General features: G+C 33.5%; 1 protein-coding gene across 12 annotated transcripts in view; it reads left to right on the plus strand.

The window, feature by feature from the left end:
- SPAG16 (sperm associated antigen 16) overlaps positions 1 to 15,474 on the plus strand; it is a 1,126,038-nt gene that overhangs the window by 937,547 nt on the left and 173,017 nt on the right. The window lies entirely within an intron of this gene.

Consider the following 15,474-nt stretch of genomic DNA (forward strand, 5'->3'; position numbering starts at 1 on the left):
CATCCATTCTCACAGAAAAGTGGTATTGAATGTTTCATGGTACATCTATCTCACAGCTAAGACATTAAAATGTGTTGAGAAATTAGTTTCCTTGCTATTCTTTTTTTTTTTTTTTTTTTTTTTGAAACAGAGTTTCGCTCGTCTCACTCAGGCTGGAGTGCAGTGGCACAATCTCGGCTCACTGCAACCCCCGCCTCCTGGGTTCAAGCGAGTCTCCTGACTCAGCCTCCTGAGTAGCTGGAATTACAGGCACCCACCACTATGCCTGGCTAATTTGTGTATTTTTAGTAGAGATGGGGTTTCACCATGTTGGCCAGCCTGGTCTTGAACTCCTGACCTCAGGTGATCCACCCGCCTTGGCCTCCCAAAGTGCTGAGATTACAGGCGTGAGCCACCACTCCCTCCTTGCTATTCTTGAGCACATTGTAGTAAAATGACCTATTTGGAGCCAGAAATGAACCAGCCACCTACACAAACTCTTGTTAATCTTTTCAGCCAAATTATAGCCTTAAATTTTAATCTCAGAAGAAAATTTTTGTCACTCAATCTGTGAAATACAGGATCAAATAAATGGCTTTTGCTTTAATTTTTTTTACACTTCATGACATAGTTGCTTACCATGTAGAATACTTATTGCTAGCAATGTAATTATCATGAACAGTGTCTGAAACATCCATTTTTAGTCAAGTTCTGTGACTAATCAAGCTAAAACATACATTTTCAAGAGATCCACCTGAGGACTGTCTATCCATGGATTTTCTATCCCACTGCACTTTAAAATTGACTGGGAGCTTCTATAAAATGCTCTCTGGATGTGCCTCATACCAAATAAATAGTAATCTTTGAAGGTGTGGCCTTGGGTTATATTTTTTAAAACTCTACAGATAATTTTAAGGTGAACCAAGGTTAAATACCATTTATTTGAACCAAATGAATATTCAGAAACATGTTATTCAATTTTTAGTCACTTGTTGAGAACTAATTTCTTGACAAAAAAGACATTCACTTTGTGGTTAATGTCAAAAATTTTACCTTTCATTTCTTAATATGAAATATATTGCAGAAATCCCTGATAATCACAAACACCTGCATTTTAAAAGATTTCCATTATTATGAACTATTTTTTATTATTATTTGGATCTTCCTGGGGAGACTTTATCTCACTGGGAGGTAATCTATGTTAAGTCTTAATTCAAAAAATGAAAGTTCTTGAGAAAGGGTTGAAGCATATAGGTCATTAGCAAAAAGCTGATGTTGAAATATTCACTGAAGTATCCATTATAATAATGAATACTAAATTACTATAAGATTTATTTTCCTAGAATAGTAATTTTCCCATGTGAGCACTCTGCAATATTTTACAGTAGTAGGTTCACTTCGAGAGTTGTTTCTGAATACGTATAGCATATGAACTAAATCAAATTGGTAAAAATAAACATAGAAGTGAGGGAGTAACCAAAAAAAAAATAAAGTTATATCCAACCTTTTGTTTCAGAACAATAAAATGCAATCTACTGAAATAAAATATTTGATTAATTTAAGAGGTTGGTATTTAGTAGCAAAATTTAAAGCAATAAAATAGTTTTGGTAATGGTATTTAAAAGTAACCTAAATTTAAGTATTTCTTCTCATCAAAAGATACTTCTATTATAATAAAATATCAATTTTAAATTATAATTCTTAAAATATTTATTAAGTGCAAAGTTTAATGATATACTGTACCAGAGATATAAATATAAGTAAGAGATGATTCCTGCCTTTAATAAATAGGTATTCAAGTGTGGATGACACAGACATATGCAGAAAACTCGCAATGTAGTGACTGCTATACTAATAAAGTGTGGTGATCAGAAGAGGGCATGTTTCAGTTATGAGGCATTGACCAAGGCTGACCAAAGGAAGAGATGTTGAAATGGGTTTTAAAGAATCAGGAGAAGTTCTCCATAGGGAGCAGAATGGGTAAAGTGAATCAATAAACTTAGAGCATTCTGCAGAAAGGTAAGCTGTTCAATAGGGACAGAAATGAGAATGTAAGTGCAAAGACCAGCTGTTAGTGGGGCTGTAGTCTCCTTGGCCCCAGATCATAAAGGGCCTTGAAAGTTAAGCCAAGGTTTCTGCTCTTCTTCCCAGGGGCAATGGAAAACCATTCAAACAATGTAATTTTGAGTTTCTTAAGACTCCTGTTTCCTTGGCCACTTTCCTTAGCCTGACACCAGCTTGCCTTCCTACAGCCATACATGAATTTTCTTTCATATTGATGATTTTGCTAACTAATTAAAATGTTTCACAAACAATGACTTGATTTCTTAAAAATCAGAACAAAAACAGTGAATGTCCCATAAATATATGTACACATAATTTATATTATTTCTCTTAAAGATGAGCCATTATGATTGAGGTTTATAATTTCTTCAGTATGTGCAAATACTATAATTTTGATGTATAAGTACAATCACAGATGAAATACAAATTTAGTTTATAATAAGTTTGAAAAAGCTTTGCAACCAATAAATAATGCCTACTTCATCTGAAAAACTTGAGAATTAAATCAGAGGAAGGAGTTGCAGACTAAGGGATTTCTGGGGAAAGGCTGTACAAATAATTACCCTAAGAACACAGCTGTGTTTGCTTTGTTGTTGGATAAAAAATGGTATTAACCTTAAGGTTTCTTTTATAATCCTGGGAAATTTTAAGTTTTCAAAATGTTTTACTTGTTGAAAGTAAGCAAATTAATACTACAAACAAACATTCATTCATTCAACAAATATTTATGAAACACCAATATAAGTGAGGCAACTTTCTAGAAACAGAGTATGCAGCCAAGAAACAGAGTAGAACTGTCCCTGACCTCATAGGGCTTATCTTCTAGTGAGGGTTGTCAATATGTGGGCAGGGGTAGAGTCAAATAATAGGGAAATTAACTGGTGCACAATATTAACAGATAATGGTTGCTGTTGAAACAAGAAGAGATTGGATTGCTAACAGAGGGAGGAATTTGTTCATTTTTATTGAATAGTTGGAGAAGGGTTCACGAATAAGGTAACATTTAAGCCATGCATATAGAAGAGAGCAGCAAGAACAAACCTCAAGTTTAAAAAGTGCTCCCCGCTGTTCAAGGGGAAGCAAGAAGTCCAATGTAGCTGCAAGACAATAAGTCAATGATAGGATGACCAACAGGAGATGTGGACAAAATGTAGAGATGCGTGGAGCAAGGGAGATGGAGCCAAATATTGTAGGGCCTTGCTGGCCATTTGGGGACCTTTTTTTTCTTTTACTGAGTGAGGTAGGAATTCATTGGACAGTCTTACATTTTAGAAGAATTAATCTGGCTTTTCCTAAATCTAGATTGTGGAGAATGAGGGTATAAGGAGTCTATTGTGATAACCCAGGGGAAAGCTGATGGATGCTTGGATCAGAGTGAAAGCAGGGAAGGCAGGGACACATGGTTCTATTCTAAGTGTATTTGTTTTGAAGACATAAGAAACATGAATATCAATATGTAAAATATTAAGTTACTATCTACTTAATATGAAAATTATCTCCATATATGTGACAGGCTTTTATTATTACCAAAAACACAATAATCACAAAGGCTTCTTCAACTCTAAAACAGTTAAGAAAATATTTCATATATTTTTCATTGACATCAAACATCAAAAAGGAGAGAGGAAAAACTATCTTTGTGATTGTTGTGTGTCCAATCTATGTGTTGGCACATAAATACATTTACTTTACTTATAATATAGTATCTGATCTGAAAAATAAACTGTTGGAATATATGTGGATGTTTGTTTCCTTCTAATCATTTAAACTGACTGTGTTATTGAAATCAAATTTATAAACTGCCTGCCTATGTAGACACCCAGAAGCAATTACAAATGCATTGAAAACATCATTACTTACATTCTGGCCCTATACAGTCTAGAAGTGGTATCTTTTCTTCCTGGCTAGGTAGTTATTCTGAATCAAGGAGTCTGACTACTTCCGGTAGAAAGCCAACAGTGGGACTTCAACCATTACTTAAATGTAGGCTGGAGACAGAATCTGAAAAGGTTTTCATTTGCAAATTACTGCATAACATACTACTTCAAATTTATTAGCTTAAAACATGAAGCACTTATGATTTCTCATAAGTCTCAATGGATCTCAGCTCTGCTTCTTCCCTTGTCTGAAGTTTGCTGGCAGGTTGGTAGGGGCTAGCCCGTCTAGGATAGTCTTAGCTGGTATGACTCAGCTCTGCCCCTTGGATTCTTCTCATAGTGAAGGTGAAAGTACATGGGACAAAGTGAAAAATGCACATACTTTTTCAAACCTCTGCTTGTGTTAAGTCTGATAATGTCCTATTGGCCAAATCAAGTCACCTGGCCAAGCGCACATTCATGGTGTGGGGGTAAAAGGTCTCTGATTATTTAATAAAAAGAACTTCAAAATCACAAGAACTTTAAAGAGCAAACAAAACAAACAGCCTCAACCACAAACACAAAAATCATTACAACCATCATATCTGTGACAAGTGTCAAGTTTGGAAGACAAGCAAGTTTGGTTAAGGCCTTATTCCAAATTCTGACCTTTTGTTGTTCACCAAAATGTGGTTGCAGTGCCTAGAACAGAAAAGTGATTCAAAGGCTGTTTAAAACACTTCCAAATACTCCCCCCAAAGCTTACCCTGGTAAGCACACTAATAGGATCACACAAGATCACATTTTGGACACTTAAGTGAAAAATAAGAGATACAAGACATGAAATTCAAGAACTATTCAGTTCAGTCTTTGGAAAAAGACAAGGCAATTTCTGGTTGGAGCTGATCCCCTGGCTCTTAAATTGTACTTGATTTCTTCAAGTTTCAATAATCAGATCTTTGAAAATTTCACCCCATGCACTCTGATATCTTATACTTTTTCTCTTTTATTGACATCAGACAACAGCTAAATTGGATTGCCAAGTATGAATCAAAATAATTCAAAGATGATTAAAATATTAAGGATGTCTCAAAGGCATGACAATGTACCAGTCTAGCACACTAGTCCAGAAAATGTAACCAAGTCTAGTGTAGTGTTTTCCAGAAGGTCTTTTAATATAAGCAATTAATTTTTAAAATGTTACAATAAAATTAATATAAACTTCATGCCTAGAATCTGTTAAACTCATTCTTCCTCCTGATAATTATTCCAATTAATTTGTGGTCAAATAATAGTGATTATGGAAATTTTAGAGATTCCACATCTTCTTATTCTGACTATAAACCACAGTCTGGGTAATTTGCTGCATCAATAATGTCAAAATTAATAAGCTAAAGTCAAAACAGTATTAGAAACAGTTTTAATATTTACTACAAATATACCTAAAATCTGCTTTAGACAAGAGAGAATTAAGTAAATAAAAGCCAACAACATTAAGAATTTATTTTGTTATTACCAAAAACTACATATAACATTTCCTATTATCCTTGATTCAACGCTTTTGCCAGTTAGGACTCCAATATGTACTTACCCATATCCCAAAGACCCGTATTCTGTATCCTGATGCCTCTTTCTCTTCCTTCCTTGATTAATCATTGCTGTAACTGCTGTAGCTGTTCTATAGCAGTTCTCTCTTTTCTGCCATAGATGGAAGCCATTTTGAAAATTCTAACTTCCAGTTGAGTAGCCAGGAATTTTTGCTATTAATAAATTTCTTTCTTGTGGAAGGTGTATGTGTGTGTGTGTGTGTGTGTGTGTGTGTGTGTGTGTAAATGTGTATATCTAAAACTTTAATTTTCCTATCTTATTATTTTCTTCCCCTTAGACAAATCTCAGTTTGTTATTATTGTACCTAGAGTAGGAGCTAAGAATAATGGCTAGTTTAGAGATGGAAGTCTGAAAAATTCCTGAATCTAAGCAGTTAACCTTCTTTCTATGTTCCTTTTGATGAGATTCTGTACTGTGACTATTTGTAAATATAAAAGCAGCTCCCTGAGACAGATGGTTATTTACAGTGTTTTCTCTATTATGCAGGATAAATTATTAACAAGAAAATAATTGAATATTGAATATGCCCTGGCAAAGAAATAATCTTTCACCAAGTCTGTCACACAGTATGCTGCAAGCATGCATTCCAATTAGTAGAGTGGGCCAAGTAGATTAATGTATCAAATTGTTTAAATTCATGATTCAATCCTACTTTCCTTAAGAACTTAGTACAATTGCAAATCAATTATTATTCAAGTTTGTTAACTTTCTGCAAATTTCAACTATATTTTATGACTCATGGATTTAAATCATAATTCAATATGCATATAATTGAAAAAGTTTTCTCAAAAGCTTGTTTTCATTTATTTTCATTTTGATAGCATTATATCACAGCTGATCAAGTAATTTATCATGTTAACATATTAAAATGCATTCATAGGAAATATTTTACCTCATTTTTATAAGTAATTTTTTAAGCTACCAAGGATTGGAATAGAAAAGAACATAGTTAGGAGAGGGAATAGCCAAATTATTTTCATATCTTTGGATCATACTATCAATAGGAGAAAAAGCAAAACTGTTTAACCATTATAAAATAACAGTAGACTATATCAATGGTTCTCAAAGTGTGCAGTACCTGGAAATTTGTGAGAATTGCAAACTCTATCACCCCAGAACTTCTGAATCAGAAAGTCTGCAATTAGGGCCCAGCCATCAGTATTTTGACCTCAAACTGATTCTGATGAAAAGGTAAAGTTGCACAACTACTCTCCTATTGAGCTTTTATCTCTTCAAGCACTGTTGCAGTCATATTATCATTTAATCTACATTTAAAAGACAAAGTATTATCACAATATTTAACAAATGAGAAAAATGAAATTCAGGAAGATTATGATTAGCTTCTTCAAAGCTCCTCAGCTACATTGATGGCAGAACCAATATCTGATTTGACTTTCACTAACATTTGTCTCCATTAACAAACTCATAATTTTCAGCCTAAATGGATAGAAACATTAAAGGAAAAGGAAAGTCTAAGTCAGCTGCAAAGAATTATGTTACATAGTTTCTGCTATGGAGCCAACTTTCATTCTTTCAACAAGTATTATACCAGGGACTATGGTAGGTACAGGAGATACAACCAGAAGCAAAACAGAGTTCTTTCTCTTATGGATCTTGCCATCTACCACGAGAAGCAGGAAAAAAAAAAAGGATAATTTCACTATAGAAGAAAGTATATAAAGGATGTAAAGGTCACTACGATGGGCACATAGGAAAAACGCTTCTTCTGGCTCTAAGATTAAAGGAAGAGGAGGCAGGTGGTTCCTGGAACATGAGGTGTAACTAATCTTTCAGTAGAGTAGGGGAGAAAATATCTTAATCCATAAAAATAGCTAAAGATGTGAGAGAGAAGAATGGGCATGCATCTTTATTATCCTGCCATTTGTTATCTAAAGAACAGTGCAAACATTTTTAATTTTCATTATTATGAAGGGCTATTGTCTGTATATTATATTTATATGTATGTGTATATATATTTATATGTGTATGTGTGTATATATATGTGTGTGTGTATATATGTATTTGAAATCCAAAATGTTTTCAATTGAGTTTTCTTATTAGAATGCAATAATTTAAATATTTTAGAGCATAAAAATTAAGCTAATATTCATTCAGTTTATTAAAAAACTATAATTTGGAAGATTAAAAACAAAAACAATAGTTCACAGCTTATTTTATATTTGTGGGAATCAGATACAAAAAAAAGGTGACTTGATGCCCCTAGAAAATATTTACAGTCAATACAAACATGGGAGACAGCTTTGAATATGGTGTAGAATACATGTTAATAAAAATGTATAATATACACAAACTTCTGGTCTGCTGCAGTTTGTATAGCATTATGAAATTAATGAAAATATATTATTTTCATAACAAGTGTCAGCAAAATGCAGCACAGTAATGTTAAACTATTCTATTTTTGCAGATTCAACCTCATATTCAGTTTTCTCTTACACTCCAGCATTACATATGATGAATGTGAAAAAATAAACAGGCAAACACCTAATATATTATAGCAGATGGAGAAAAAATAGCTAAATCGGAATGATTTCCCTAAATTTTCAGTATGTGAAGCAATGAAAATAAAAATTTAATATTCAGCCTCCTCATTTTAATTATTTCACAACAGTGAACCCATAGTGATCAGGGTATTTTGTGTATTAAATTATATTGTTTGGCATTATTGTTACGTGATTCTAGATAATATTTCTATCAGCTAACTAATTTCTACATTAACCAAAATGTATAGCTAATAGGCCAATAAACATGACGAGGGAAAAGAGGACTTTCTAACCCTTTGTGAGTCCACAAAAATGCTCATTTCTAGAAAAACCAAAGAATACATTGACCTCACTATCAATCAGGTAATGTCAATGTTAGCTGCAGCTCTGGCTGTGCACAAATTCTTTTTGCAACAAGGTGAGACATAAATAAATATCCCGTCAGTGATATTAAATATTTATTACATTAAACTTTTAAGTATTGAAAACAACTTTTAATCTCAGGAAGAAATATTATGATAGTTTAAAATTAGTTCATAAATAATTGGATATTTATAGATACAGTAGGTTGCTTTCAGAGTTTGCTCTCAGCAGGGAATTAAAATGCACCTCTATGCACATGCTGGTGCAGAAGAGATGAAATGCAAAACCAAGATCTCTCCAGAGGACACCAACATTCTTGGACAATTTCCAAAAGGAGGCACAAAGTACAGGCTAGTTCTAATTTGGTGTCTGATAGCCAAGAGAGAAGGCCATTGTTGTGGAGGTGATGAATGGGGAGGCAATGAGGAGGGGTCATTACAGAAATAGCAAGCAGTTGTGGCAGTTTTTTGAGTTAAATTTTACAAAGAATATTTTGAAAACAAGATGGGCCAAACAGAACCAAACCATCTGTCTATCTTGGGTCTCAAAGCTGTTGGGGAAGAGACAGTTATTGAGAAACCATATCCATCCCAAAGATCTTAAATTGGAAGCATAGTCAAGGGGTTATAATGCCTTCTTTGGTTGACAAGTTCTAACCCGCTTCAGTCTATTACAATCTCAGATGTTGTCTGTAATAATGCTTGGTGTCCTATGTCGTTGGATCCAGACATCGTTGGAATAACCAACCATGTCCCAGAACAGTGCTTAATGGAAACAACTAAGTGAGTCTAGGATTAGGTCAGGGTTTGATATTATCTATGCTATTTATTGACTAAAATATTTCAAATGCAATCTAGCCTGGAATAGAAAGGTAGACAAGTCAATCTAGAATAGAGGTAAAAATTATTCAAATTAATTTTGCAAGTGGATGTTTTAAATGCATGTCTATTATGACATGTTTTCTAGACTCTTTAAAGAACTATGTCAGATATGAAGTAGTATTTATTCGACTTCAGAGTGAACTGAGACAACCCATGATTTAGAAATGAGGCAAAAATTGTCTCAGAATAGACTACAGTTAAATAAATAATACTTATAAGTTTATAAGTATTGTATAACGATACTCATGCATATAAGAAATCATGGTATTTCTCCATTTACAATTTTGAAATTTCTATTTTCCTATTAAAATAAAGAAAAATACATCATCTATGCTAGAGGGCTTCATGTAGCCAAGTGGCATTACTCCAGCATTGAGCCCCCAAAAGAAGAAAAGAGGTGATAGGATAAGGAAAGAGCACAAAGAAACTTGCAGTAAACTGCACATACTTTTGTCCTTCAAGAGGCATTATATTTTCCTTAAATTCATTGCCAGTTTTCCTTGGGGACCATTGTCTGTTTTCTTTAAGAGAATGTGAGGATATATTTATGTATTTTAACTGCTAAATTAATAGTTAAAAATTCAATGTGACTTTTATTTCTTTCAAAGAATGAGATTAAAATTTTAAATGGTTTCTTTTATTAAAAAGAGACTATATGCAGTTTTATCCAAATACTTTTTCTATGTGTTTAATTATTGTATAACCACTAAACATATTATATAATTTGTTTTTATGCAATAGTAGTGGATATGTTTTTAAAAGTTTAACTAATATATTTTTAAGATGAATAGAACAAACATTTAATATCACTTAAAAGTGATATTAGAATGTACTACCCTGCACTAACAGCTATTTTTGTTACATAAATCTTTAAATACACTTTCTTATTCTTGCAGTCATAGTTAAGGAAGAAGTTGTAGAAAAAAAGTAAACATATGGTAGATGCTATTTATTCTTTTTTCTGGTAATATGAAAAGTCAAATTTAGAATTTCAAGCTAGAAATATCTCAGAGAGTATAGTATCTTTTACCTTAAATATATTCTAAATTGGTATGAAATATTTCAGTATCTCATCCAAACTTGTCATAAAGTTCACTTTATTATTTTCATTTTCTTATTTAATATTCTCTTCTGATAACTGCAACATTCGTGGTGAATGTGATTCAGAGTTTTCAGTGGCTGTGAAAAGTCCAGTTAGTCATAGAATTGGTAGCTATGGAAGAACTTTGGAGAATATTTCAGATTCTTATAGTGTGTTGAGAAATATAAATCATTGCATTCAAATATTAACTAAATTACTGCTCACCTCTGACTGTGAAGGAGTCGGGGGGGGCTCAGATTGTATTGGATTTACTCAATTTATTCTAAAAGTGCCAAATGCATGTTTGGACAGTAGTTCATTTTAAATTTCTTTAAATATCTCTAGTGTCATATATAATAACAAATGAATTATAATGTATATTCAATGACTATATTTAGTGTCATCCTGCTTTTCCTTCTTTAGAATTTTATTAGACCACCTTACATAAAAACAGCATCATCAAATTCTGATGTGGTATGATTTTCTCTGTTGAATAAATATTTCAAAAAAGCCAGGGGCATTAGTTAAGAGGAGCATTAAAAAAACAACCCAAATGTCAATCCAAGTTAGTATGGATAAATAAAATGTAGCATATCTATGCAATGCAATGCATCCAATGATGGAAATGAATGAGCACAGAGCAAAATAAAATGTGCAGTGAAAGAAGTAAAACCAAAGAATACATATCCTATGATTCTTTTTTATAAAGAGTTCAAAATCAGGCAAAACTGTTTTATATCATTTAGAAGTACATACTATAAAGAGCTTCACAGCAAGTCAAAAAAAGGGGGGGCCATAAGTGTTAGCATAGAGGTTTGCCTCCAGGAGGGAGAACAGCCCCTGGAAATAGAAAGTGGCACAAGAGGGTTATCTTCTGGGGTGTTGGCAATAGTCTCTTTCTTGACCTGAGGGCAGTTACATAGGTGTTTGCTTTACAATAACACATTAATCTCTGTAGCCTTCTGTATATGTGCCCTAATTCTCAGTAAAAATAGATAATAATGATGATGATGATGATGATGATGATGATGATGATGATGGTAGAATAGATGGATGGATGGATACATAGATGTAAAAGGAAAGGGAATAATTAAAATCAATAAAACTAGGATATTTGATCTATTGCTGTCTATTTCAACCAAGAGGTACAGTTGGACTGCCATAGAAGGTACATCATAAAGGGTCATGGTACATACTTTGGAAAGAAGTCTAAGACAGGAACTAAAAAGTTGGGTCTAGAATCCAGATCTATACTTTGACACATTCTGTGTATATCATGGAAATGATCACTTCAATTCTTTGTGCATCAGGGTTCTTATCTGCCCACTGAGGTAATAACCATTTATAGAAAAGTCTGTGATAATTTCAATGAGATTATACAAATTATTTGGATAATAATTTTTCATCTGCATCTTTCTCCCAAATCCTCCAATCCTGTACATGAGGATGTAAAAAAAATTATGAGGTATAATTACCAGTAAGCACCATCTACTTTTACATATTTCATGTATGCAGTTTTTTGTTCGACAAACTTTTGTGGTTTTTTTAATTATTTTGAGTTCAGGGGTACATGCGCAGCATGTACAGGTTTGTTACATAGGTAAACATGTGGCTTGCTACACAGATCATCCCATCACCTAGATATTAAGCCCAGCATCCATTAACTATTCTTCCTGATGCTCTCCCTCCTCCCACCTGCCACCTTTCAATAGGCCCCAGTATGTGTTGTTTCCCCCCCCATGTGTCCATGTGTTCTCATTATTGAGCTCCCACTTATAAGTGAGAAGATGTGGTATTTGGTTTTCTGCTTCTGCATTACCTTACTGAGGATAATTGCTTTCAGCAACATCCATGTCCCTGCAAAGGACATGATCTCATTCCTTTTTATGGCTGCATAGTATTCCATGGTGTATATGTACCACATTTTCTTTATCAAATCTATCATTGATGGGCATTTAGGTTGATTCCATGTCTTTGCTATTGTGAATAGTGCTGCAATGAACATAGGAGTGCATGTATCTTTATGATAGAATTATTTATATTCATTTGGGTGTATACCCAGTAATGGGATTGCTGGGTCAAATGCTATTTCTGGTTCTAGGTCTTTGAGGAATTACCACAATGTCTTCCACAATTGTTGAACTAATTGACACTTCCACTAACAGCATAAAAGAATCCCTTTTTCTCCACAACCTCACTGGCATCTGTTGTTTATTTGACTTTTTAATAATAGCCATTCTGACTGCTGTGAGATCATATATCATTGTAGTTTTCATTTGCATTTCTCTAATCATCAGTGATGTTGAGCTTTTTTTCATATGTTTGTTGGATGCATGTATGCCTTCTGAGAAGTGCCTGTTTATGTCCTTTGCCCACTTTTGAATGGGGTTGTTTTTTTCTTGTAAATTTTCAACAAACTTTTGTTGAGCAAAACACTGTGGTCATGAATAAGGAAAAGGGTTTTATTATTTTTATGTTGCATACACACATAGTCACACATGTTCACATGCACACATGTACATGTACCACACACACACACAGAGGCAATTTTTTATTTCTTAATTCCCTTTTATGAATTGGTGTCTCTAAACATGATAAGGGAAGAAAAGTATCAACTAATGATTATGCACCACTTTTCAGAAATATTGAGGTCATAGTCTGGAATATTATGAAAGATTCTTTCAAATTATGACCCTCTTGAAAATAATTTGGAAATAAACTGATTTTGCATTTAAGTGACACTGATGGATTAATAAGTTAATGTATACCTAGATTTTGTGATATTCATAAAAAGATTGTAACTGAATATTTGTGTAGTATTGATTTGATTTTAGATACCTTTAATTAATAGCAACCTAAGTCCAACAGCACATTTTGCAAAAGCAAATTTATACACCTGAAATAAAATGTAAGTTGATTTTATTAAATGAAAGTCCAAACTTACTTAATATGAGTCCATTGAGTCCAAACTCAATGATTTAAACATATTTTCTCCAATAAATAATGCCCCATAGCTTTCTTAAATTAATATTTACTCCTGAAATAAATATTATACCATATTTATTGGTATGATATTTAATAGAAGGTAAAGAATTTAATGTGCATTTTCTTCCTCAAATAAATAAATATTGAACTTAACTTGTCCTTCGAGCATTGAGATGTCTTCCACTAAACACCTACAGCTTTAAACACACCTCCTGGAACCCTGCATAGAATGATTTAATAGTTACATATTGAGAAGAATTTTAAAAAGTGTCTCTGACACCCTCTTTATTCCATTGAAGAACTTACCACTGGTGGGACAGAAGAATTGTCTGTGGTCGCCAAGGTTTTTTTTTAACAATTACTAAAAATTTACTTTTTACATCTTCATGCCCATTGGCAAAGTAATACCAAATTGCAAGGTTTAAACTATGTAGGTTTTATTTTTTTATACAAACAACATTTATTTCCAATAATGCAATTAAATTATTTGTTGTCTTTATGTATTATAGCTATGACAACAGTACAATATATACCCAACTCTATCATTTCATTCTACAACCAGTAGTACAATTAGAATTTGTGTCTATCTCTTAGCTTATTTTGAACTAATTTTCAGGACACAGCAGTACAATGTGTAGAGTACAGTGTGGTGGGCATCAATGGTTATTCTGAGGAAGAAAATGGGCATTAAATTCTTACCTCCTATGAAAGAAACATAGTAGGGGTGTAAATATATTTATTTCATTCATAACTTTGATAACTAGGGCCTACCCATCTGCCAGACTATATTATTGTGTAAATAGCTCCCATCTGAGCTAGGTGTCTTGCTAACTCAGATCAATTAGTACTTGTAATTGAAGCTCAATAATAATTACTGCTACATCTAGTGAGCATTTAATTCCTGTGTGCCAGGCATAGCTATAGATACAGTTTAAGCTGCTCAAGTTTAACACAGTAAAAATGATAAGAGCATAGGTGCTTATAAAGAATTACTATTACAAGGAAACTGGGTATGAATACAGTTTTTAAGGGTATAATTTTGGGCCAGGCTTGGTGGCTCACGCCACACTCCCAACACTTTGAGAGGCCTAGTCGGGTGGATCTTCTGAGGTCAGGAGTTCGAGACCAACCTGGCCAACATAGCGAAACCTCATCTCTACTAAAAATACAAAAATTAGCCGGGCATGGGGGCGGGCACCTGTAATCCCAGCTACTCGGGAGGCTGAGACGTGAGAATAGCTTGAACCCAGGAGGCAGAGGTTATAGTGAGCCAAGATCGCACCATTGCACTCCATCCTGGGTGACAGAGCGAGACTCCGTTTCAAAAAAAAAAAAAGATACAATTTTGAATTCACTGCCTATATCTAATTTCCCAGCATTTATTACGATTCACCAAATAAGGTAGCAATCATATATAGGGATTTTTAGATCATGAGGTTTTTAGGTGTCTTCTGGATTCAGATGAGTTCCTTGAAATCATCTTGCAAACTGAAAGTGACTGTGATATAAGAAATAACCATAAGGCTATGGCAAAGCTGAGAGTGACAGAGTTTATGCAATTTTCCTTAGGAAAACTGCATGATATCTATTTTGAATCCTCCACCTGGCATTACTCATTTTATTTATGGAACGCATTCTCCCCAGAGTGACATCTTCTTTCCGTATCCATAATGTATAATTGTGATCCTTAGACCTTATCATGAAAGGACAGGTGGAATATTATTTTAAGCACCAGGATATTTCTTAGTAAATATCATATGTAGAGTATTGACCCTTTCAGGGACAGCAATCACATAGCAAAAGGAAAGCACAATTTTATCTCTTGTTCAATCACATTGTTATTCTCTTTATTCTCTGGATTTAGGGTCTGTTCCTATAATAGGTAACACTTCTAAAGATAAAGAAAGCACTTAAGAGAATTTTGGGATGTGTTCCACAAGAGACCTGGACCACATTTTCAGTTAATAGTGTTTGATAAATTGACCATGAAACATTAAAAAAAAAACACAGATCTTAATTCATTAATTGCTGTTAGCATTTTATTCGTAAGATAATTACCATACATGTAATCATTAATGATCTACGCTCATGGAGAATGTCTTTACAGGATGATATTTCTGAGATGTTTTAAGACTCCTACATTACTGAATTTGTAA

The sequence above is a fragment of the Homo sapiens genome, chromosome 2 (assembly GCF_000001405.40).
Source record: "Homo sapiens chromosome 2, GRCh38.p14 Primary Assembly".
In the NCBI taxonomy this organism is placed as follows: Eukaryota; Metazoa; Chordata; class Mammalia; order Primates; family Hominidae; genus Homo; species Homo sapiens.